Source organism: Homo sapiens, chromosome 2 (genome assembly GCF_000001405.40).
Source record: "Homo sapiens chromosome 2, GRCh38.p14 Primary Assembly".
In the NCBI taxonomy this organism is placed as follows: Eukaryota; Metazoa; Chordata; class Mammalia; order Primates; family Hominidae; genus Homo; species Homo sapiens.
Genome location: NC_000002.12, coordinates 240,269,894 through 240,295,931, shown reverse-complemented (window position 1 = coordinate 240,295,931; position 26,038 = coordinate 240,269,894). Strand labels below are relative to the sequence as shown.

The 26,038-nt window shown below is 45.4% G+C and overlaps 1 pseudogene, besides 3 other annotated features; it reads right to left on the bottom strand.

Moving 5' to 3' along the window:
• Positions 2,098–3,073: an enhancer, noted in NCBI's record as "H3K4me1 hESC enhancer chr2:241232276-241233251 (GRCh37/hg19 assembly coordinates)". NCBI's record gives its function as "activates a minimal SCP1, AML or CMV promoter by ChIP-STARR-seq in naive H9 embryonic stem cells {active_cell/tissue: H9 hESC(naive)}" and the evidence as "EXISTENCE:reporter gene assay evidence [ECO:0000049][PMID:30033119]".
• Positions 4,049–5,025: an enhancer, noted in NCBI's record as "H3K4me1 hESC enhancer chr2:241230324-241231300 (GRCh37/hg19 assembly coordinates)". NCBI's record gives its function as "activates a minimal SCP1, AML or CMV promoter by ChIP-STARR-seq in naive H9 embryonic stem cells {active_cell/tissue: H9 hESC(naive)}" and the evidence as "EXISTENCE:reporter gene assay evidence [ECO:0000049][PMID:30033119]".
• Positions 6,489–6,716, bottom strand: LOC124906196 (uncharacterized; annotated as a pseudogene).
• Positions 8,065–8,564: an enhancer, noted in NCBI's record as "H3K4me1 hESC enhancer chr2:241226785-241227284 (GRCh37/hg19 assembly coordinates)". NCBI's record gives its function as "activates a minimal SCP1, AML or CMV promoter by ChIP-STARR-seq in naive H9 embryonic stem cells {active_cell/tissue: H9 hESC(naive)}" and the evidence as "EXISTENCE:reporter gene assay evidence [ECO:0000049][PMID:30033119]".

Below are 26,038 nucleotides of genomic sequence, written 5' to 3'. Positions count from 1 at the left end.
AAGCACTCAACATCATCGGTCAGCAGGGAAATGGGAATGAAAACTGTAATGAGATTCCGCTTCATCCACCGGGATGGTTGGAGTCAAAACCTCAGGAAGCAAGAGTCTCAAGGGTGTGGAGGAGCTGGAACCTGGGTGCGCTGCTGGTGGGAGTGCCAAACGGTGCAGCCGCTGTCAAGTTTGGTATTGTCTCCAAAGGTTAAACAGAGTTACCGGATCAATCGAACAACTTGTCCCTGGGCGTCCTGGGGGTCAGATTCCTCAAGTGTGATCAACACTGTGGGTCAGATTCAAACTTCCTATTTTTAGTGGTGTTATTTTTTAGAAGATTTTCATTCCACTTCTCCCAGGGGAGAAACATTTATGTCAAGATAGCCTGCAGCCTGGGATGGTCAGTGCCTCAGATCCGCCAGCCGCTGACTTCTTGGAGCCGTGTAATCTGCTGTCTATGGCTCCTGGATGTTCGTCACATCACCAGCCCCTATGGTGGATGGTAAGACGCCAACGCAGACACGGCTATTCCTGGAAGTGCGTTTGCTACAATTGTCAATCATCATGGATCTCGCTTCAAAAGGAGTCTTTTTTGGAAAAATCTGCTGTTTCATGTTATCTCTCGGTGTGCATGCTCAAAACATCCAGTCCGTTGGAACAGATGTGAAACACAATTCAAGGGCATGAGAGGTGTTCACGGTGAAGAGTTAGACTCATATGTGGCTGAATTTACCTGGTGTGATCGCTTTGGAAAGAATGCTTTCTATTCCCGGTTATTCCGCATATGTCAGAGCAATTTTCTGTTAACTAATATGATGTTTTGGCTTTTGGCTTTAGTAAGTTTTAGTAAAAACATCCAGGGACAAATTCTTCCATTGAATACCTCTGAGAGACACATTGTTCAATTGATCGGAATTACCACACGACCCAGGAATTCTACTTTTGGGTCTACAGCCCAAAGGATTGGAAACAGCGTTGGCAAGAGATATTTGCACCCCCTTGTTCATAGCACTGTTGGAAATCATCAAACGGTGGAGACAACCCACATGTCACTGGGTGCACGGAAAAACAAAACCTGGTGCATCCATGCAATAGGACATCAGCCACAAAAGAAGAAATTTGGACACAGGTCACAACGTGGGTGAACCTTGAAGACATGATGCCAAGTGAAATGGGCCAGTCATAAAAAGACACACACTGTAAGATGCCACTTACATGAGGTGCCTGGAGAAGTCAGATTCATAGAGACAGAAAGTAGAAGGGTTGTTGGCAGGGGGCTGGGGGGATGGGGACTGGGGAGTTCATGTTTAACAGGGGCAGAGCATTTGTTAGGAAATATGGAAAGGGTTTTAGGCACCGATAGTGGTGACGGCTGCACAACACTGAGTGCATTTAATGTCACTAAACTGTCCACTTGCAAATGGAATCATTCATTTTGAAAAATCTGCCCCTTATCGAGCATTTGCTGAGACCCTTGTCCAGGCCTGTGCCTGGCTGTGCAGTTGGGGAGGCAGGAGGAGGGAGTGAGGACGCCTTTGGCCTCCTCGTGTGACTGCCCCGTGGACAGCCCTGACTGGTCTCTGGCCCCTGCAGTGAAGGCACGAACAGCTTTGGTGCACGGCGGCGCCTTCTATCCTTGGCACGGCCTCCTGGCTCTGTTTCTAGAAGCCATCAAAGGTCACTGTATCCCCCATTCCCAGCCCTGAATCAAACCAAGCCTGCCCCACTTGGCTCATCTTTCTGAAGCCCCCTCGGCTCACTGGGCCTGGGTCTGGGTGTTGCTTCCCCGCCGGAGGCCTCTGCTCTCCCTGGGAAACACCGTGGGAGAGCGGCCAACAATGGGCTTCTATCTCTGGATGAGAAACCAGATCTGGCTCAGCTCAGCATCCACCAGCACCTCATTCTTATCGCACCAGGCTGCCCAGCTAGTTCCACTTAGGATGAAACCTGACCTGCCCATGGCTGTCGGAGCCTTGCTGGCTTTGAAAATGAGAACTAGCAAATGGCACCAACTCCTTCAAAGCCCTGACAGGCAGCTTAGCTCCCTGGATCTTTCCCAAAAGCTTTCAGAGCCCCTGGGGGCAGGTGGCGGGACCCTGGAGACCTGCACGTGGGTATGTGGGGAGCCTGCTGCCTCTGCCCGGTCAGCTGCACCTGCTGCAATCTCCAGTTTCCAGCCAAAGCCTCGGAGAGAGTGTGTCCCAGAGCAGCAGGACTTATTGCCACCCAGACAGGCTACTGGAGCCCTGGACCAGAGCCACAGCCGGCACCGTGGCACCCAGTGGGGGAGTGTAGATCACGGACTGCGCCCCTAGCCCCCGGCTGGCAGTCCAGTGAGAAGTCTTCCTAGGAGGGCAGCCTGAAACTGAGCCCTGGAGACTGGGTCATCCCAGCAAGGTTAGGTCCTGCTTCTCCAGAACTCCCCACCATGCTTAGATCTTAGGATGGAGCACAGGAACCAAAGCCAGACCTGCTCAGCACAGCCTGGCCCCAGGGCATTAGGTCCAAAGCTCAGGCCACTGGAGAACAGAGCTGACCACAGCCTCCCTGGACACGGCCCCACAGCTCAGGACCTCCCGTGACTCAGCCTGGTCCATGTCAGATCTTTTCAGGCCGGGGAGTGGCCCTTGCCTCACTGGGCAGGGAGGATGCTGAGATGCAGCTGGAGCAGTTCCTCCTGCTGACCATAGCTGGCCCTGGGCACTGCAGGCCTCCAGCTCAGTCTGCCGGGAGGGCAGAAGGACAGACTTCCAGAAAGGGGCTCATCCTACATTGCCCTGCTGGCACACACCACTGTCCTGAAGAGCTGGCCAGCCTGAGCTCTGCAGGCCAAAGGAGCGGCTGGGTAGGAGCTGCCCACCCAGACCAAGTGACCACCCAGTCACCCCAGCCACAGTGGCTGCTTAGCTCACACCGAGGCTCTGCAAGGCCAGTCTTTAGCTGGAGGTGCACTAACCTCCTTCTGCTACTGCTCCCTGGCATGAAATCATCTGATCCAGGAGTCACAATAGGCCCTGATAAGGGCATTCACAGATGTGGAAAATGCTAGAACAAAGTGTGGTTTCTGAAGCCCACGGTGTCGCGGAAACTCCACGAAACACTGGCATGCTTAGCTAGGATATCTTGAAACTGCAGCAGCCTCACTACTGCCCGATCCTCCCTAGGGGCTCATCCAGCCTCTCCCTCACCGTCTTCCATTAATCACAGCCACAGTCTAAGGGGATTACATTCTGACCAACACAAAATAGCACTCTCTGCTCAAAGTTAGATTGTTCGGGCTAAAACCAATTCCCACCATAACCGATTACCGTCTGTTAATTAAATGACGACTCAAGGTAGTTAAGTTAAAAAGCAAGGCTACTGAAAGACGTGCTGGAGACCAGCCCCCAGGCCTACAGCCCAGCACCTGCACCTCCCAGCACTCAGCGCTGAGGTCAGAAGGAGTGTTGGGGCCTTGCCATCCCACCTGACTTAGGTCCCGTTTTGTCCTCCTTGGAGCACCTTGTCCTAGAGGCTGAGGTGAAGGCTGCCCCTGCCCCAGGCAGACCCCATTGCCAGTGGTAAGGTCCCTGCCTGTCTCCTGCACTGACCTGGGCCTATTTGTCTCAGGGTCCTATCGTGAGACATAGGGCCTGGCCCTGGGAGGCACCCACGAAATGAGACAGGGAGGAAGGGAGGGCTGGGGAGAGAGAACAGGGGAAGAGGGAGAGGGAGGAGAAATGGGGAGAAAGAGAAGGAAGGGGAAAGGAGAGGCCTGGCGACTGGTGCTAGAACCCACAGCACGGCTGAGACCCTCTGTTCAGATTGGGAATCAATGCCCAGCTGTTGGGGAGAAGGCTAAGGGCTGTGGGGGGCCATGTGCTCACTACAGAAACCAAAGCGATGCTGAAGTACAGGGCAGAACTCACAGGGCCCGTCTGCTCTGCTCTCTTTTCAGAGCAATCACCCTTAACAATGAGGTTTTCTCTTTTTTTCTGACACATTTGCATATGTTTAAGGTTGTGTGCATATAAATATAACCTTAGTTTAACACATATATATGCTGGCTTTTCAAGGTAATAATGTGATTTAGAGATGTGTGTCAGAATAGAAGGAACTCTTTCATTTCAGCCCCCACATGCGGATCATGATGTATTTTCCTATGTGTGTGCGCATCAGTAGTGCTGCACTATTGACAAGGTTTGACTTTTGTTGCTTCCCGTGCACCTTTTGATGTAAGCTCTGTCCATGGTCAGCCCCGTGAGGTTGAGGATTTTGTCTGTTTTGCTCACAGCTGTGTCCCCAGGGTAATGCCCGAGTGGTCACAGCCACAGCAAACGGTGGAATGTGTGTGTCCACAAATGTTCCTAAACTGGAATGTCTGGGTTCATAGCCATGTCAGCAGGACATGGATCATTTGGACAGATTGTGCCGTTGCCTCTCCGGGCTGTGCACCCTCATGCTTCTGACAGGACCAGGCATCCCATCCCAACACCCTCGGCCTCCATACTCCTGCCCCTGCCACGCACTGTTGCCTCCCCTGCGTGCCCTGCTCCCCGGCCAGCCCAGCATCTCTGGATGATCTCGGCCTCCATACTCCTTCCCCTGCCGCCCACTGTCGCCTCCCCTGTGTGCCCTGCTCCCCGGCCAGCCCAGCATCTCTGGATGATCACTGGACGCTGGATGCCTGCCTCACTTTCCTTTGAGCCATTGGTCTTTGCTTAGGGACGTGACGGGCTTATGCATTCCAGATGCGAATCTTTTGTGTTTAATGTCACAAATATTTCCTTGCCCGCTGCCTCACTTGTCTTTTCACCTGAAATATTCACTTTGAAGAGATCTTTCAGCCTCCGCAAGTTGTTAAGATTCAAGAGGTATAGAGGTCTGTCAATATTTCCCTCAGCGTGTCTGGGTTCAGAGCTGGCGGCAGTGGACCTCTCCTCCCAAGGACACGGGGCATTTTCTGGGCAGACGTGGTTTGTGTTCCCTGGGCTTTGTGCCCGTGGAAGATTCCGGGCTTGGCAGCGGCTTGGCGTCCCCCTGAAGCTCACTTCATTCATTCCCTCCTTCTGCCTTCACTCACAGAGTCACCGTAGAGGTCCACGTTCCACTGTGTGGCCGCACCGTGTTTCCTGCCAAATCCTCACTGTGGTCTTCATGTCACGAAACAAGCTCACCCTCGGCCTCTCACACTGTTGTCGTGGGGAGTTCCGAGCCCCACCCCCAGGGCCAGGCTCTGAGCAGCTGACCGTGGGAAGCCCAGTGAGGAGCTACAGTGAAGCCCTCCCATCTGTGGGGAAAGGCCCGAGTCTGACCTTGGAGGGGCCAGTGATGGACCCTCGACGCCTCCAGGGTGTGGTGGCGGAGAGGGGCTCGTCCCCCAGCTCAGTTCCTACTGGAAGCAAAGGCTTAGCTGGAGGGCACTGGGCCTGGGAGAGCCAGGGGGCTCCTGCTCACATGCCCCAGGGGGTACTGGGAGCCCTTCCTTCCCCTGCCTGTGCTTGTGGTGGGGAGGCGGGCAGGCCACTGGCCCTCGGCCTGGCTCACTCAGGCTGCAAGCGGCTCTAGCCAGAGGGGCGACGTGACTGGGGCCTGTGGGCAGCCACTCCATGGGGCGTGCTGGATTCGGGACTCGGGACTCGAGAAGAGGAACTGGGTCACCCTGAGACATCAGCCTGGGCTGAGGGGGCCCCAGAGGCAGGACCTGGCCAGGCCTTCCGCCCGTGGGATCCAGCTGGCCAGAGCCAGGCCAGGTGTGTGAGGCCCGTGGAGAGCAGGGGGCTGTCTCACCAGGCCCTCCGTTCCCCAGCGTGGGGCACAGCTGTTCCAGCTATTCCACACTGTCCAGCATCCGAGGGCCTGTAGATGCTGTGGACCCGGTCCAAATGCCAGAGCCGTGGCAGCAGAGACTCCGGCTGTGACAGATGACAGGGGGCCGGAGGGGGCTCGGGCAGGCTGTGGCCATTCCCTGGCCATGGTGCAGCAGCCCCCTCCTCACATGGCCCGCCAGGAGCCCCTCCACTGGCCGGTCAGTTCAGAGAGGACAACGGCCCCCACCCCTTCAGAACCTGAGTTCCCGGGGCCCCTCCTGACCCCCCACACCCGACTGCAGCACCTTAGTAAAGGCCCTGCTCCCATCACTCTGGGCAGGGCTACGTGTTTCCTCCTGGAACCCCAGGAGGGAAGGACCTCAGCTCACCCCACCCGTCAGCCCGCCCACGCCGTGGCTGCACCTGCGTGGAGATCAGACCTCTGGCCTCCTGCCTCCAGGGCGCTTGTCAACCAGGCACTCGGTGATGAACTTGGATGAAAAATAAAAACCTTGGCAGCCAGGCCTAGGGGGTTCATCTCTTAATTAAGAAAGTGCTATTCTCTGGCAAAAAGCAAGTGAGCGAAATTACTCAAGTTTAACCCTAGCAAACCATTGTCTTCTGTGTCCACAGAAGCAAGGCTGAAGAGGCCGTTGGGGTGATGATATTTTCCGTTTCTGGTCATTTTTTTTTTAACAAGTAAGATAAACCTCTCAGACTACATCCTCTCCCTCTTACTCTCCCAGAGGAACAGAAGAATGGTCATCAGTGGCGAATGGTACTTGCAGGGAAGCAACACAGACGACGGCTCCTGCTCGGGAGGGAACGCTGGGCCTGCTCGGGAGGGAATGCTGGGCCTGCTCCTTGTGGCTTCTGGTGCTCAGAGAAACTTCTCCAGGAACGAGCTATCGAAATGATCCCAGAATGCATAGGCTTTCCGTTTCTAGTCTTTTTTTTTTTCGAGACAGACTCTTGCTCTGTCACCCAGGATGGAGTGCAATGGTGTAATCTCGGCTCACTGCAACCTCCGCCTCCTGGGTTCAAGTGATTCTCCTGCCTTGGCATCCCGAGTAGCTGGGATTACAGGCACACGCCACCACATCCGGCTAATTTTCTGTTTTTAGTAGAGATGCAGTTTCACCATGTTGTCCAGGTTGTTCACGAACTCCTGACCTCATGTGATCCGCCCACCTCAGTCTCCCAAAGTGCTGGGATTACAGGTGTGAGCCATGGCACCTGGCCAGTTTCTAATCTTTTAAAGTAACTGCTAACCTTTTCTGGTTGTCTTGAAATACAAATCAACTATACTTTAATGACAACATTTGGTCAACTAGAAAAAGATCCATTGGATTCTTGGATTCTTAAGCTCATTGGTCCTTAAAACCAAGAAGCCCTGCCTGGCAGGGCCAACGGAGCTGCAGGTTGTACTGGGCGGTGCCTTGCCCATGGCTGCACATGGGCCTGAAGGGGACTTTGCTGTCCCTGACAAAAACACATTTAAAAACCTTCCTTACTGTGCCAGGGTTCCCATCTGTCCGTGCCTTTCAGTTTCTGCCATCTCAGGGTGGGCATCCCAGTGGCTCACCCTCCCCTCTGGATACCAGCCGGCCTCCCAGTGGCCTCTTGGTGGCTCGCCCACCCCTCTGGATACCAGCCGGTCTCCCAGTGGCCTCTCTATGGCTCCCCCACCCCTCTGGACACCAGCCGGTCTCCCAGTGGCCTCTCTATGGCTCACCCACCCCTCTGGACACCAGCCTGTCTCCAAGTGGCCTCTCTGTGGCTCACCCACCCCTCTGGACACCAGCCAATCTCCCAGTGGCCTCTCGGTGGCTCACCCACCCCTGTGGACACCAGCTGGTCTCCCAGTGGCCTCTCTGTTGCTCAGGCTCATCCCAGACCTCAGAACACATGAGGGTGGAAAAGCAATCCCCCTCGCCCACTCCCCTGCTCAGGTGGCTTTTGCAGCCCTCGTCACCTTGGCCTGTCGGGGGCAGCAGGGCAGGCCCTGGATGTAGATCATGCTGTTGGCATGGGGAGGACCAAGCCCCACCCCCAGGGCCAGGCTCTGAGTGGCTGACCATGGGGAGCCTGCGGAGGAGCTAACCTGAAGTGTTCACTGGGAGGCCACACAGGCTGGGTGGGGGCTGAGGGAGGTGCTGGAGCTGGACCAGGCCTGGGGCTGGAGTTGGAGGTGGTGGGTCAGGTGCCACATTGTTCAAATGGATGTGGGGCAGTGGCTGATGCAGCCTCAGGGCATGTTTTCCTCCGAGTTGGCAGCCCCTGGGTCCCTCAGATATCAACACTGTGCTGTTCTAAGTGCAGATTCCTCCCATGCAGTGGCTCTGGCCTGGGCTGGGTGTGCAATCTGCCTGGGAGCGCTTGAAACCTGGACGGGCTGAGCCAAGCCCGCTGGGGCTGGGACTCAGGGGTCAGCAGATTGTTCTAAGCTTCCCAGATGACCCCAGTGTGCAGCCAGGGCTGAGCACCCCTGTCCTGAGGCTGCTGAGCCGGCGGTGGTGCTGGGTGCCCCTCGGTGGCAGACCAGGCTGGCTGCAGTGGGGATGTCCGCTGAGTGCCTCTGATGGAAGGTACAGGGTACTGCCACGTCTCACCCCTTCCACGGGCTCCCCAACTCTCACACATTCACACTTCCCTACACCCCACATCCGTCTTTCAAGGCGTTGGTCAGCGCCAGGAAGACTTGCTTGTCTGACCACATGCAGCGCTTCATGATTCTCCTCTGCATTCATCCCTCCTGGTGCCAGCGTGTTCTCTGTGGGCAGCTGCCTGTGTGCGGGACAGGGCTGCTCAGGGAATGGCTGCTCACACCAGCCCCAAGAGGGAGGGAATCCAATAGATGCTGCTGACCGTCCTCAGCGCAAACGGTCACCGCTGACTGCCCCTGGCACACACGGTCACCGCTGACCGCCCCTGGCACACACGGTCACCGCTGACCATCCCTGGCACACACGGTCACTGCTGTGTTGCATGTCCCTGTCAACACCTGGGGTTCTTGTCTCTCACATGGCCTCTGTCACGGGACCCCATGTGGCCTCTCTGTTTGTTGCATTTCTCTGACGGGTGGGGCATCTCCCAGAGCTGGAGGGGCAGGGACCCACTGGGCTGCCCAGAAAATTCCCCGTTTCCAATCTGAAGTCTATTTGCTCAGATTAGATCCTTTACTTCTAACAAATAGAAACAATAAAAAATGATAAAGAATAGAAATAGGGCTTTCAAACACCATGCTGCAGCCAAAATCCCCTCCTGTTTCACTGAGGTTCTCAGCAGTGGCACTGCCAGCCTGCCCGTCCTCTCCCATCAATAGGCCAGCAGATGCTTGCAGAGGAGGCTTGCCCTGCTGCTAGGAGGCATAGAGGCGGGCAGAAGCAGGGCTGTTGTCAGGGCACACTGTGGCTCCCTCACCAGCGTGGTGCAGGGTGCGGTGCCCACGTACAAGCTGGAACCCCCATGTTTCAGTCTGATGAGAGCAGTCCAAAAGCTATTGCTTTGTTCTCGACCTTGCTAGTATTCCCAGTCTCTCAGGTGCTTAATTCAAGCTATTTCCTTCCTCCCTTCACCCCTAAGCACAGGCACAAACACACCCAAAGGCACAAGGAGGTGATGCTCTGGGACTTGTCCCTCTCTGCTGAGCAACACTCAGCTCTGCCTGTGTATTTTAATTAAATGCCTGGGACAAAGTATGAGTTCAGGTCAGAAACAAACGTATTCTGCAAGCACAACTGCAGGGTTTGTTACTTCTGTTGTTTCAAACTCAAAAAGATGAGCTTATTCTTTTTTCCAAGGGGAGGGGACTTCAATGGAGTTTTTTCCTGGTTTTAGCAAAAATCAGTTGTTTTTAAATTGCTGGTGAGCCTTTTATGTTATTTTTATGAAATATATCACACATTCAAGAAGTGACATAAAGCACAGCGTCCGGCCCAGCGAGTGTTCGCAAAGTGAATACATCCATGTAACCAGCACACAGGAAAAGGCAGAGCATTTCCAGTTTTCCAGAAACCTCCTTATGTTCTTCTTAAAACTAACCCCTAGTCTGATGTCCATCACCAAAGTGAGTATTGCCTGTTTCAAAGCTTCTTATAAAGTGAATGACATGGAGAGTTTTGTGCTGTGTTGAGCTTTTATTGTATCCTCACTGTGCGTAACTGCAGTTTGTGGAGTGTTTTGTGCTGTGTTGGGCCTTTATTGTATCCTTCTCACTGTGGGTAACTGCAGTTTGTGACTGTTCATGGCTGTATAGTATTCCGATGTGTGAATAGACCCATCTGATGGATACGGGCAACTCGATGGGTCCACAGGTGTTGGGTTAGTTAGTAGTTGGGGGCTATTACATTTATGATTTATGCACATTATCAGCACACCTTTTGGTGCATATATGGATGCATTTCTATTGGAAATATTTATATATTTATACACATGCAATTTGTGCATCATAGAATATGAAAATATTCGGTTTTAAGAAAACCCTGCCAAAGTGTTTTCCAAAGCAGCTCTAACAATTTACATTCCCATCAATACTGTATGAGAATTTCGACTGCTCAGCATTCCCCCATGGGTTCTGTTTGTTTGTTTGTTTAATTAGAGCCATTCTGAAGTGTGGTGGCCTGAAGCTGCTCTTCCCTGGGGAGTGAGGACGCCAAGCACCTGTTCATGGGCTCATGAGCCCTGTGAGAGGCCCAGTTCTCAAAGCCATCTCTTCAGGTTTTTTGCTCCTTCTTGCATTCAGTTGCCTGTCTTTCTGATTTCAAGTTCTTTTTATATTCTGGATTTGAGGCTTTAGTCAGGCATGTGTATTGCAAAAATCTTCTTCCACTCTGTAATTTGCATTTCACTGTTAAGGGTGTCTTATGATGAAATAAATTTGTAGTGCTGTAAGAATCACCAGTGAGCCTTTTACATTTATTTTTAGACTCTGTGCATCAAAAGGGGGACCTTTGGAGACTTGGAAAGTCCAGGGTTTCTGGACAGCACATGGAAAGGAGCGAGGCTCTGCAGCTGGAGGTGGCTTTGTGCCCACTGGGGCTGTTCACACGGTGGCCTTGGGGTGACATGAGGACCAAGTGAGACCTGGCCTCTGGCATGCAGCATGGACGGCAAGGCTCTGAGGCAGAAAGCCCTTGCCCATGGGGGTCGCTGTGCGACTCTGGGGAGAGAAAATCAACTTGGCGGGACTTAGAGGATGGAGCACTTCACAATGCTGGCATCTCCTGCAGCTTGTCCTGTGACCTAGGAGTAGACAGTCCTCATATCTGGGCCTCAGTTTCTCCACCTGCACAGCCAAGGCATTGACGCAGATCTCTGAGTGCCCTCTGATCTCCTGACCGAGGCTTGATCCTCCTTCCTTAGCCATCTCTTCAGGGTTACCAGTAGAACATGGTGATCCCAAGTGTGCCCGGGTCCCACTGCCCACACAGCTCTCACCAGCTGAGCAGCCTGGGTGGGGTCACTTACCTCTCTGTTCCTCAGCGTTCTAGACTGTGACATGTAGGTGACAGCGGCCTACCCCACAGTTGGAAGTGCTCACGGCAGCAGCAGGGGCTGTGTCTTTGGGGATGGGAACCACTCTACGGGAGTTAATGCCCCAGCTCCCTGAGGCCTGGTTTGGTATCACCATTCAATGTGATTTAAAACCATAGACTTATCCATCACTTGACAGGGAGTCTTTTAAGGGGAATTTTAAAAGTAACTCTCAATTTTGTAATGTTATCAAACTTTATGTGTTTCTTATTTCTCAAAAGCCATCTTTGGTAATTTATATTTTCCTAGAAAATTATTTAGTTTGTGGATATGGTAAAATTGCTTTCCACAAAATTATACACCAAGGTCTTTTGTAATTTTTAAAAAAACTTCTACGGGTACATAGCAAATGTATATATTTATAGGACGCATGAGATATGTGGATACAGGCATGCGTGTGTAATAATCACTCAGGGTAAATGGGGTATCCATCACCTCAAGCATTTATCCTTTCTCTGTGTTACAAACAACCTAATTACACTCTTTTAGTTATTTTTAAATGTACAACAAATTATTGTTCACTACAGTTACTCTGTTATGCTATCAAACACTAGATCTTATTCATTCTATTTCATTATATTGTTGTACCCATTAACCATCCCCACTGCCCTCTGCCACCCCCATTACCCTTCTCTGCCTTTGGTAACCATCATTCTACTCTCTATCCCCATTTGTTCAATTGTGTTAATTCTTGGCTCCCACAAATAAGTGAGAACATGCACAGTTTGTCTTTCTGAGCCTGGCTTAATTCACTTAACATAATGATCTCAGTTCCAGCCATGTTGTAGCACATAACTGGATCTCATTCTTTTTTATGGCTGAATAGTACTCCATTGTGTATATGCACCACATTTTCTTTGTCTAGTCATCTGTTGATAGACACAGCTTTCTTCCACATTTTGGCCATTGTGAGCAGTGCTGCAACAAACATGGAAGTGCAGATACCTAGCGGTGGGATTGCTGGGTCCTGTAGCTGTTCTACTTTTAGTTTTTTGGGAAACCTCCAAACTGTTCTCCATGGCAGCTGTTCTAATTTATATTCCCACCAACAGTGTACATGGCTTCCCTTTTCTCCACATCCTCGCCAGCACTTGTTATTGTTTATCTTTTGGATATAAACCACTTTAACTGGGGTGAGATATCACATTGTAGCTTTGGTTTGCATTTCTCTGATGATCAATGATATTGAGCACCTTTGCATAGATACCTGCTTGCCATTTGTTTGTCTCCTTTCGAGAAATGTATATTCAGATATTTTCCCCATTATTAGATTTTTTTTTCTGTTGAGTTGTTTGAGCTCCTTATATATTCTGGTTATTAATCCCTTGTTGGATGAGTAGTTTGCAAGTATTTTCTCCCACTCTGTGGGTTGTCTCTTCACTGTGTTGATTGTTTCCCTTGTTGTGCATAAGCCTTTTAGCTTGATGTGATCCTATTTGTCCATTTTTGCATTGTTGCCTGTGCTTGTGGGGCATTTCTCAAGAAATCTTTGCCCAGTCCAAGGTCCTGGAGAGTTTCCCTAATGTTTTCTTTTAGTAGTTGTATAGTTTTAGGTCTTAGATTAAGTCTTTAATCCATTTTGTTTTGATTTTTTATGTAGTGAGAGATAGAGGTCTGTATTTTTTTTTCTTCTGGATCTGGATATCCAGTTTTCCCAGCATCATTTGTTGAAGAGACTGTCCTTTCCCCAATGTATGTACTTGGCACCTTTGTCAAAAATGAGTTCACTGTAGATGTATGGATTTATTTCTGGTCCTCTATTCTGTTCCAAGTTCTATGTGTCTGTTTTTATGCCAGTATCACACTCTTTGGATTACTATAGGTCTGTCATAAAATTTGAATCCAGGTAATGGGATTCCTCCACTTTTATTCTTTTTGCTCAGGATAGCTTTAGCTATTTTGGGTCTTTTGTGGTTCCATATAAATTTTAGGATTATTGTTTCTATATATGTGAAGAACATCATTGGTATTTTGAGAGAGACTGAACTGAATCTGCAGATTGCTTTGGGTAGTATGGACATTTTAATGTTGATTCTTCCAATCCATTAACATGGAATATCTCTCCATTTTTTTGGTGTCCTCTTCACTTTCTTGCATCAATGCTTTATAGATTTCATTGTAGTTATCTTTCACTTCTTTGGTTAAGTTTATTCCTGGGTATTTTATTTTATTTGTCATTATTGTACATGGGATTACTTTATTTCTTATTCAGATTGTTCACTGTTGGCATATAGAAATGCTACTGATTTTTTTAAATTTTGTATCCTGCAACTCTACTGAATGTGTTTATCAGTTCTAATCTTTTTTTTGGTGGACTCTTTAGATTTTTCTAAACATAAGATCATATTATATTCTTCCTTTCCAATTTAGATGCCCTTTATTTTTTTTCTTTGTCTGATTGCTCTACCTGGGACTTCCAGTACTATGTTGAATAACAGTGGTGAAAGTGGGCATCCTTGTCTTATTCCAGATCTAAGAGGAAAGGCTTTCAGTTTTTCCCCATTCAGTATGATACCAGCTGTGAGTCTGTAGCATATGGTTTTAATTGTGCCAAGGAACGTTCCTTTTATCACAGGTTTTTTATCATGAAGGAATTTTGAATTTTATCAAATGCATTTTCAGCACCAATTGAAATGGTCATATGGTTTTTGTCCTTCATTCTGTTTATTTGATATATTACATTGATTGATTTGCATATGTTGAACCTTCCTTGTATCCCTGGATCTCACTTGGTCTGGTTTTGGTATCGGGGTAATACTGGCCTCATAGAATGAGTTTGGAAGTATTTCCTCTTCCAAACAGAGAACAGAAGTCCCTCCTCTTCTGTTTTTAAGAATAGCCTGAGTAGGATTGGTATGAGTTCTTATTTAAATGTTTGGTAAAATTCAGCACTGAAGCCAAGAGGTCCTTGACGTTTCTTTTTTGGGAGACTTTTTATTATGGCTTAATGTTGTTACTTGTTATTGCTGTGTTCAGGTTCTGGACTTCTTCATGGTTCAATCTTGGTAGGTTGTATGTGTCTAGGAATTTATCCAATTTTTTCTAGATTTTTCAATTTATTGGCATATAGTTGCTCATAGTAGCCTCTAAAGATCCTTTGAATTCCTGCAGAATTGGTTGTAATATCTCCTTTTTCATTTCCGATTTTATTTATTTGGGCCATTTCTCTTTTTTCTTAGTTAACTTGGCTAAAGTCTTGTTGATTTTTCTTATCTTTAAAAAAAAAACAACTTTCGTTGCGTTGATCTTTTGTTTTTTTTGTTTTGATTTCACTTATTTCTGCTCTGATCTTATTATTTCTTTTTTTCTACTAATTTTAGATTTGGTTTGCTTTTGCTTTTCTAGTTCTTTAAGATGCTTCATTAGATATCCATATGTTGAACCATCCTTGCATCCTTGCTTGATGTTTTTCTACTTTTTTGATGTTGGTGCTTATTACCATAAACTTTCATCTTAGTAGTGCTTTCACTGTGTCTCATAGGTTTGGGTATGTTGTGTTTCCATTTTCATTTATTTGAAGACAAATTTAAATTTTCTTCTTAATGTCTTCATTGACCCACTGGTCATTCAGCACATTAATTTCCATGTGCTTGTATGGTTTCCAAACAATCAATAGTAAGAGGAATTTGATACAAACTCCTCTTGTAATTGATTTCTAGTTTTATTCCATTGTGGTCAGATACTTGATATGATTTCAATTTTTTAAGACTTGCTTTGTGGCTTGACTTATGGTCTATCTTTGAGAATGATTCATGTGCTGAGGAGAAGAATGTGTATTTTGCAGCTGTTGGATGAAATGTTCTGTAAATATTTATTAGGTCCGTTTGGTTTGGTTTATAGTGCAGTTTAAGTCCGAGGTTTCTTTGTTGATTTTCTCTCTGGAAGATCTGAAAATGGGGTTTTGAAGTTTGTAGCTATTATTGTATTGGGTCTATCTCTCTTTTTAAGCTCTAATAATATTTGCTTTATATATCTGGATGCTCCAGTGTTTGGTGCATATATATTTAGAATTATTATTTCCTCTTGCTGAATTAACACCTTTATCATTATATAATGACCTTTTTTGTCTCTTTTTATAGTTTTTGTCTTGAAATATATTTTGTCTTATATAAGTATAGCTACTCTTGCTTTTTCTTTTGGTTTCCATTTGCATGGAATAGCTTTCTCTGTTTCTTTATTTTCAGTCTGTGTGTGTCTTTATAGTTGAGTGCATTTCTGTTAGGCAACAGATCGTTGGTTCTTTTTTTTGTTGTTGTTCATTCAGCCACTCTATGTCTTTGGAGGGTTTTGTCTGTTTATATTCAATGTTATTATTGATAAATAAGGACTTACTCCTGCCATTTTGTTATTTGTTTCCTGGTTGTTTTGCGGTCTTCTCCTTCTTCTTTCCTTTCTTCCTGCCTTCCTTAATAGTGAAGATGATTTTCTCAGGTGGTATGTTTAATTTATTGCTTTTTATTTTTTATGTATCTGTTGTATTTTTTTTATTTGAGGTTACCGTGAGGCTCTCAAATAATACTGTATAGCCCATTATTTTTAAACTGATGAAAAGATAACACTGATTGCAAAAACAAACAAGCAAGCAAAGAGAAAACTAATAGAAACTCTACACTTTAACTTAATCCCCCTGCTTTTTAACTTTTTGTTGTTTCTATTTATATCTTATATTGTCTATGTCTTGAAAAGTTGTTATAGTTACTATTTTTGACAGGTTCATCTTTTAGTCTTCCTACTCAAGATATAAGTAGTTTACACACGACAATTACAGTGTTATAATATTCCGTGTTTTTCTGTGTACTTACAATTACCAGTGAGTTCTGTATCTTCAGATGATTTCTTATTACTCATTAATATCCTTTTCTTTCAGGTTCTTTCAGAACTCCTTTTAGCATTTCTTGTAGGGCAGGTCTGGTGTTGATGAGATCTTTCAGCTTTTGTTTGGGAAAGTTTTTATTTCTCCTTCATGTCTGAAGGATATTTTCACTGGATATACTATTCTGGGATAAAAGGTTTTTCCCTTCATCGCCTTAAATGTGTCATGCCACTCTCTCCTGGCCTGTAAAGTTTCCACAAAGAAGTCTGCTGCCAGATGTATTAGAGCTTCATTGTATGTTAGTTGTTTCTTTTCTTTTGCTGCCTTTAGGATTCTTTCTTTATCTTTGACCTTTGGGAGTTTGATTATTCAATGTCTTGGGATAGTATTATTTGGGTTAAATCTGCTTGGTATTCTATCACCTTTTCATACTTGAATATTGATATCTTTCCCTAGATTTGGGAAGTTCTACATTATAATCCCTTCGAATTAACATTCTACCCCGATCTCTCTCTCTCCTTTCTCTTTAAGGCCAATAGTTTTAGATGTGCTCTTTTGAGGCTATTCTCTAGATCTTGTAGGTGTGACTCATTCTATTTTATTCTTTTATCTTTTGTCTCTTCTGTGTATTTTCAAATGTCCTGTCTTCAAGCTTGTGAATTCTTTCTTCTGCTTGATCATGTCTGCTATCAAGATACTCTGATGCATTCTTCAATATGTCAATTGCACTTTTCAGCTCCAGAATTTCTGCTTGATTCTATTAAATTACTTCAATCTCTTTGTTAAATTTGTCTGATAAGATCCTGAATTCCTTCTCTGTGTTATCTTGGATTTTGTTGAGCTTCCTCAAACAGCTATTTTGAATTCTGTGTCTGAGAGGCCACATATCCCTGCCTCTCCAGGATTACTCATGGTGCCTTATTTAGTTTTTTGGTGAGGTCATGTTTTCCTGGATGGTCTTGATGTTTGCAGATGTTCATTCATGTCTGGTATTGAAGAGTTAGATATTTACTGTAGTCTTTGCAGTCTGGGCTTTTTTGTACCCACCCTTCTTGGGAAGGCTTTCTAGGTATTCAAAGGGACTTGAGTGTTGTAATCTAAGTCTTTAGTCACTGCAGCCATATCTGCTTTAGGGGACACCCTAAGCCCAGTAATGCTGTGGCTTCTGCAGACTCACAGAGGTACCACCCTGGTGGTTTGGGTAAGATCTGTGAGAATTCCCTCAATTACCAGAAAGAGACTCTTGTTCTTTTCCCTTACTTACCTTCAAACAAATGGAGTCTTTCTGTCTATGTTGAGCTACCTGGAGCTGGAGTAGGGTGACATAAACACTCCTGAGGTCACTACCCCTGGGACGGTACTGTGTCAGACCCAAAGCCAGCACAGCACTGAGTCTCACCTAAGGCCTGAAGTGACCACTGCCTGGCTGCTGTGTTTACTCAGGGCCCAAGGGCTCTACAATCAGCAGGTGATGAATCCAGCCAGGCTTGTGTCCTTCCCTTATGGGTGGCAGGTTTCTCCCAGCCCCAGATTGGTCCAGAGATGCCATCTGAGAGCCTGGGCCTGGAGTTGGGAACCTTAGGAATCTGCTTGGCGCTCTATTCTATTGCAGCTGAGCTAGCATTTAAGCCACAAGTCAAAGTCCTTTCCACTCTTTCCTCCCCTTTCCTCAAGCAGAGGAGTCTCCCTATGGCCATTCCAATCCCAGACCTGTAGGGAATATTGCCTGGCTACCGCCAATGTTCACTAAAGGCTCAAGGGCTCTTCAATTAGCTTGTGGTGAATGCTGCCAGGCCTGGGACTCACCCTTCAGGGCATTTGACTCCCTGCTGGCCCAAGGTAGGTCCATAAATGCCACCTAGGAGCCAAGGCCTGGAATCAGGGACCTCAGGAAACTGCTTGGTGCTCTATCCAACTGTGACCAAGCTGGCACCTAAGCTCAAGACAAAATCCACTTTACACTTTACTGTGGTGTCTCTCCTTTCCTCAAGCAAAAGGGGTCTCTCCCTAAACCCCTATAGCCACCACAGCTGAAGCCAGCAGAGCTCTGAGTCTCAACTAAGGCCCATGGTGAGTACTGCCTTGTTACCGCTGCTGATTATTCAGGATTCAAGAGCTCTTTATTCAGCAGGTGATGAATCCTGCCAGGGCTGGATCCTTCCCTTCAAGGTAGCGGGTTCCCTCCTGATGCAGGGTGTGTCTAGAAATGTCATCTGGGAGCTAGGGCCTGTTATGAGGACCTCAGGACTCTGCCCAGTGCCCTATCCTGCTGTTGCTGAGCTAGTGTCCAAGATGCAAAACAAAGTCCTCTTGATTCTCCCCTCTCCTCTCCTCAAGGAGAGAAAGAGGTCTCTCCTGGAGCTTTGAGCTGCACTGCCTGGAGTTGGGAGAGGGGTGGTGCAAGCCCTCACTTAGTCACTCAGGCTGGTTTCTCACTATGTTGCATGTCCCTCGAACCTACTGGCTCTGAGCCCAGCATAACAGCAGGACTTGCCCAGGAGGAGTTGCAGTCCTTGTGGCCTCGAGTTTATTGAGGACTTGAAAGGTGGTGAGCCTTGCTGGAACTCAGGTTCCGAGCCAGGTCAGGTGATTCCCCTCTGCCTACGGCTGGTCTGAATGCTCCCTCCATGGGCACTGGCTGCATTCTGCGCTGTGCTGCTTTCCGCTGTGATAAGGCAGCTCTGAGTTCCAATGCAAAGTCCCACAGTCACTGCTCTCTCCCTCTCTGAATGCACAGATTCTCTGTCCATACCACATGGCTGCTGCTCAGGGTTGGGGAAGGTGATTCAAGACTCTTTTCTGCCCTTTTCAGTGCCTCTTTCCTTAATATGATGTTAAAACCAGGTACTGTGATCACTCACATGATTTTTGGTTCTTATTATGCTGTTTTAGTGTGAACAGTTGTCCAGTTTGGTGTTTCTGTGGGAAGGACGATTGGTGGAGGCTTCTAATTGGTCATCTTGTTCTGCCTCCTTATCTCTTATAATTTAAAAACAAATTTCTTGTGCATTTCTGGTTAAACCTGTCAGCCTTCTTAACAGTACATAGTTATGCTTCCTATCTTTATTCTTTTCCAGTTTTGCCAAAGTCTCTGTCTGTCTTTCTCTCTCTCTGTCTCTCTCTCCTTCCTTCCTTCTTTCCTCCCTCCCTTCCTTCCTTCTTTTTATTTTTATGTTTGAAGCAGGGTCTCACTCTGTTGCCCAGGCTGGTAATGAATGCTTGATCTTCTTTTAGTTTTTACTTCTTACTGTGTTTGTTTTTAAGGCACCTGCTCTTGACTTTGTAATTAGTTATGATACAGCAGACATTAGCAGCAGAAATGGAAAAGCTGGGTAGATTGACACACAATCTCCTGCTTTCCCATCATTTATTTTGTGGCTCCTCTTATGCATAATAGTGAATTTCACTTCTCTCTTTCTAATGATTAGAGCACTGAGAAATATAAATTTTCTTCTAATTACAACATTAGCCTCATCTCATGTGTTTTGATATGTGGTATTGTGGCTACCAGGACTTTACCGGAATTTTTTACTGTATTAGTCCATTCTCACACTGCTATAAAGAAATACACAAGACTGGATAATTTGTAAAGGAAAGAAATTTAATGGACTCACAGTTCCACATGGCTGGGGAGGCCTCAAGAAACTTACAATCATGACAGAAGGCAAAGGGGAAGCAAACACCTTCTTCACAAGGCTGCAGGAGAGAGAAGAATGAAGGAGAAACTTCCAAACCCTTATAAAACCATCAGATTTTGTGAGAACTTACTCACTATTACCAGAACAGCATGGGGGAAACTGCCTCCGTGATCCAATCACTTCCCTCCCTTGGCACATGGGGATTACAGTTTCCTCCCTCAACACGTGGGGATTATAATTTGAGATGAGATTTGAGTGGGGACATACAGCCAAATCACATGAGTTACGATTTTTTATTTTTTCATTAAGCAAAGAGTTAAGAAAGATTTTGGAAAGCTTCCAAGTGGTTTGGTATTTTTCTGTTTTCCCTCTTTTGTGATAGATATCTAACTTATTGCAATGTGGTCAGAGAATGTGGCCTGTATGATTTCAACATTTAAAAAAAATAATTTTCCAAGATGTTCTTTTTGGTCCAGGATCTGGTTTGATGCCCCAAGCCATCTCTCTTAGGTAGATATTCTTAAATGACTCACGGGTGTTTGAAAAAATATCCACCTGATGTGTCTTTGGGGAACAAAGTCTGAGCCACAGAGCCAAGTGTATTAATCATATCATCGTGTTCAAACCTCTTCTGCTCTTCATCTCTCAAGGCTGGCTGGGTGTTCACAGTCCCCTGTGTGTTCATTGCTTCTGAGCTCTCAAAGTCTGTGATGTCTGACTTAAAGTGCTCCTGGGGATGCCCTGGTTGGAGACAGTGGAGAGGAGGAGGGATTCAGAGCTATTTTAAGCAGGAGATAGGGGCTCCAAAAACACAGCTTCCTCATCTCTGACACAGAAAGAGCAATTGTGAGAGTTGTCTGCAGGAGTGAATCACAAATCGATGATTGTAAATTGTATAGAACCATGCAAGGCACATAGCAAATGTTGGCTTTGTGTGGAATTGTAATTTTTAATACGCAGACAACCTTTTGACATCCTTCTACACGTTTCCAGTGGTATTGTACTTTTTTCTGATGTCCTCACTTGCATCTCTGTTCTTTCTTTACTGTGCATCTCCCTGGTTCTGGGCTTCACATGGTGCACAGCAGAACACTCCTTGGAACCCACGCGGGCTGCTCTGGGGGGCTGCCTGAGCTCCACAGTGCTGCTGTGTTTGATTTTCCACAGCTTGTGAATGAGAAAGAGAGTTAGATTTTATCTTCTGACTCATTTGATAGTTGGATGTTCTCTCTCTCGGTCTTACTGTAATCAGGTTTTATTTGGTCTTATTTTAAGTCGTCTGTTATGCTTCCTGTTGTTTCACGCTTCCATGCTTTGCTATTATTATTCATTATATTGCTAAGGTTATTTTCTTGCTGACTCTTTTTTTTTTGTAATTTAAAAGCAAAACGCTTTTATTCTACCAAGTCCACCTTACTTAATCCCCATATTTATACCTCTATTTCTCCACCAGCATTAATAATATACCAACAACTGTCTTTCACCCCATATAAAATGAGAAACTTTAGCATGCTCGATTTTCTCCTTTCCTTGCTTCCAACACTCAGGTTTTGTTTGACTAACACGGGCATCTTGTGCTTGATTTATGACACATTTTATTTGTTATGTATTCTTGCAATAACTATTTTTGCCTTTACACTCTATAAGCATATTAATCATCTGGACATTAATATATGCCCTGCTGGGTTGGATTCCTACTGTCATGTCTTTGGACCATGCCTTCCTTGTAATCTTTATTTTCATCCAGTTCTTGCTCATCTAACCTTTTGAGTCCTATATCTATGAACGTATCTCTCTATCATCCTCACAATGTAAACACTGGCCTGAGAGAATACAGAAATCTTGGGTGATGAATTTTGGCTCCTCGAAAGTCTGAGTTGCTGTCCTGTTGTCCAGTTGCATTTGGTGCCCTGAATGAGGACTATGATAGTGACATTCCCTCCCTCTGCTCTTAACCATTGAGGTTTCTCCCCCAACCTGAATGCCTGTAGGACTTCTTCTTGATCTTTGAAATGTGAAGAATACCTCAAGGTTATCCCTCCTGTACCTTGGCCGGCCCTAATCTCAGGGACCTGTGGTTGGTGGCTCACTTTGCTGTGCCACTGATGTCTTGTCTCATGGAACACTGGGCCCCAGTGTGAGGGGCTCTCTCATACCCAGGACACCTTTCCCTCTTCCTGCCTGTGACCCTTGGTGGGGATCTTTGCCCCCATGAGACTAGTTTTTCTATTCTCCTCCCCAGTTCTCTGGGAAGTAGAGGAAGAAGCAGTGTTGCAACTTGAGCTCCTCCCTCTCATGATATGTTCTCTATCCATTTTCCCAAATGACCCTCTTCTGCTCAGAGACTATGGGCACAAGCTGAGACATGGATTGGAGGTGGGGGTGGTTCATTAGTCAAGCCCAGCTTCTTTATATGGCCAGAATTGTGGCTCTTTTGCATTAATCCCACTACCTCCCCTTATGGCTGTCAAAAACTTCCTTATCCATTGCTGTGATCTGGCTCCTATGTAGCCCTTGAGCCCTTTGAAACATCTGCATGGCTCAGAATCCAATTGTAGACAAGGTTAACATTATTTCTCATCGTGGTTCCAAGCCCCATAAATTAGAGGTTGTGGTAAGATTCTTGTACAGTGCCCTTTGAATGTCCAATGAAGCTGTACACAAAATGCCAGGCTCATAGATGACCTCTGATTAATGAGAGTTGGAATGGGAAGTAGGAAAAGACAAAGGGGTAGAAGACCAGGGACTTCAACAATAAATGGCTCTCTTAAAATGACTCTTGCCTGATAAGTCCATACATTGTCTGGTCCAGTCAGAACATACCATTCAACAAACTTAAGAAAGAAGTTATGAAGGCTGATAATGGCTAAAATAGCTTTACCGGACTAGTTTTACTTAAGAAAGCAATTAAAAACTTTGAACAAACAAAAAGACAGACACTGTAATATATTTTAAAGCATTGAAGTACAACCTATAATAGAAGCTGAAGAAGACTCAATGTTTGAGGGCAGCCGACAGTCTCCATGATGTAGGGAAGACAGAACTCAAGCAAAAAGTGTAGTAAAGTTGTTTGGAAGTATCATAACATAGCATTTGGGTTCCCAAAGTAGTTGGAAATTGAGGAAGGAAATCCAATAGGAGAGGGAGTCACAGAAGGGAGAGCCACAAATCTGTGAATAAACTCCCTTCAAATCCTTGGTGATGCATATAAGGGAGATCTTAAGGAGGTTGAAGGGAAATTGAAGCTGGAAAAGCTGAATTGATATTTCAGCTGCTGCTCACAACAGAAGAGCCAGATTTGCAATTTAAATCCTGCCAAGTTACAGGAGCTTGGTAAAAAACCTTAGGCTTCCATTGAAATCCCCAAAAGATTATAACTTAGGAGTAAAGCCTATGTTCCAGAATTAAGACTTTTTTTAGCTAAAGGAAAAGTCTAAATAGAGTTACCCCCCAAAAAAAGTTTAAATAAATCTCCACAAATACAAGATGATTATCTGATAAATTAATTGCTTATTAGAAAAAAATCAACAATTTTCACAGAAAGATAATAGAATCCAAAGTCTGAACAATAGCCAATAAACAATAAAAAATGAGTAGATATGTGAAGAAACTGAAAAATGTGAGCCATAGAAAAAAGAAAAGCAATCAATGTAAATATACTGTGATTTGACCTATATTTTGGAATTAGCAGACAAATAATTTAAAATATTGTTACAGAAATGTTCAAGGAATTATGAGAAAGGCAGACTGTAATGAGTGAATGGATGAAAGAATTCTCAACATAAAATGGGAAAATATGTAAGGAACCAAACAGATACTTTAACACTTAAGTGTAAGATAGCTAAAATGAAAAAGTCACTGGATAGGCTTAGCAAAAGATTGAAGCTGGCAGAAGAAAACATTAGTAAACTTGAAAACAGATTTTTTAAATGACCAAATTTGAAGAAAGAGAGAGGAAAAATGTACAAAGAACAGTTCCTCATGACCTATGAAACATTACCAAACAACCTAATACACTTGTAACTGGAGTCACAAAAGGAATGGAGACAGCAAGTAGAGTAGACAAAATATTAGAAAAAAGGTAGAAATTCTCCTAAATTTGGTGAAAGCACAAATGTACAGATTAAGGCCAATGAACCCTAAGTCGAATAAATTCAAAGCAAACCACTGCGAGGCACACCACAAACTGTTTAGAGCTAAAGAGAAAGAGAAAATCTCGTATACAGCCTGAGGAAAAGGGCTCATAATATCGCTGGGGAAAGTAACACAAATGATGGATGACTTTTCATCAGAAATAATGGAGGCCAGAAGGCAATGGAACTACATCTTTAAAGTATTAAAAGAAAAACTGTCAACCCCAAATTCTCTCTTCATCAAAGTAAGTGACATGGACAATTCCTTGGAAGACTCAAGTTACCAATGCTGACCCTAGAAGTCACAAAATATCTAAATAGCCCTATATATTAAAGAAATTAAATGTATCAAAAACCTTCCCACAAAGTAAACTTCAGGCCCAATTTCACTGTAAAATTTTCTCAAACATTAAAGAAAAAAAATACTAATCTTACAGAAACACTTTCAGAAAACAGAAGAGAAGAAGGAAAACATTTAAACTTATTTTATGAGGTCAGGATGACCCTAATATAAAACCAGACAAAGACATTACAAACCAATATCCTTCCTGATCACAGATGTAAAAATCCTTGAATAAATTTAGGAAATTGAATCCAGGAATATTTAATAATAATAACATATTAGGACCTGATGAGGTTTACCCCAGAAATGCAAGGTTAGTTTAACATTCAAAACTCCAGTTAATACAATGCAGCACATTACCAGAAGAGAGAAAAAATGTATGTTCATCTTAAGAGATACAGAAAAAACGTTTGACAACACTTAACATCCATTTATAATAAAAACTCTCAGAAACTGGCAATAGAAGGAAACTTTCTCATAATGATAAAGGACATTTATGAAAAACTTACAGTTAACTTGATAGTTAATACTAAAATATTGAGTGTTTTACCCCTAATATCAGGAATCACACAGAAATCTGTTCTTACTACTACTATTAAACATTGTACTGTAGATCCTAGCCAGTGTCATATGACAATCAAAGTCATACAAGTTATGGAGATTGGAAAGAAATAATTAAAATTGTTTTTATTTACAGGCATCATAATTATTGACATGGAAAATCCTAAAAAAGTCAACAACAACAAAGAAATTATCTAGGTATAATAAGTAAATTTATGAAGTTCACAGAATACAAAATCAACATAAGTAATTGTATATCTATAGAGTAGCAGCAAATATTTGGAAAAATAAAATTTAAAACTGATTACAATAGTGTTAAAAATCTAAAACTCTTAGGAGTAAAGTTAAACAGGTACATTATACCAGCATGCAGAAATATACCCTGTTATGGGCTGTGAGACTCAGTATTGTTAAAAATGCTAATCATCTCCAAATTGATTAATTGCTATCTCAGTCAAAATCCCAGGAGTTGAGGGGGGACAAGATGGCCAAGTATAGACAGCCAGGGAGAACTCCTACTGAGACAGAACAGAATATCAAGTAGACTGGCATACTCTGAACAGATCATCTGAGAGGATGTATTGAGGGTGGAGAGAGAGATGACCCAGATGCTGGGATTGAATAGAGGAGGAACTGAAAACCCTGCACAGGGTTTCCAACCTCCAGGATGCATGCCAGGCCTTGATTGTCTACTAAGGAAGGGGTGAGTAGAGCAAATGTGGAACAGCCCACTCTTGGCACAGACCTCTAGGATTATAGCTGCAGGAAACACCATAACCCCCATGGACATTGTGTGGGCAGGGGGAGCTGCCAGAAAAGTAGGCAGAGACAGAACTTGAATCTGCATGGAGCTCAGGTGGGCTGGTGCAGGGGCAGCTATAGTGGAATATGGCCATTGGTGCCCATCCCCCAAGGTTATCCATACTCCTCTAGGTGGCTCTTACCTGTGTGGCCTGCTGGACCTGGAGAGACCAGGACAAGTCTGCTCTGCACAATCCCTTGTCTGCTTGCCCTTCCCAAAGTCCCTGCCTGGCTGTGCAGCACAGCCTCAGCTACCCTGAAGGACCATTTTGCCAGTGGCTACCATCACAGTGCTTTTGCCAGAGGCCCCCACCATCCCACCAGAGCTCTTTTGCTGATAGCCTCCCAGCAAAGTATGTTTGCTCATGATCCCGCCACCAGTCCCTCCAGAGTGGATTTGCCTATGGCACCCTGACTGCTTGCTGCTGGAGCAC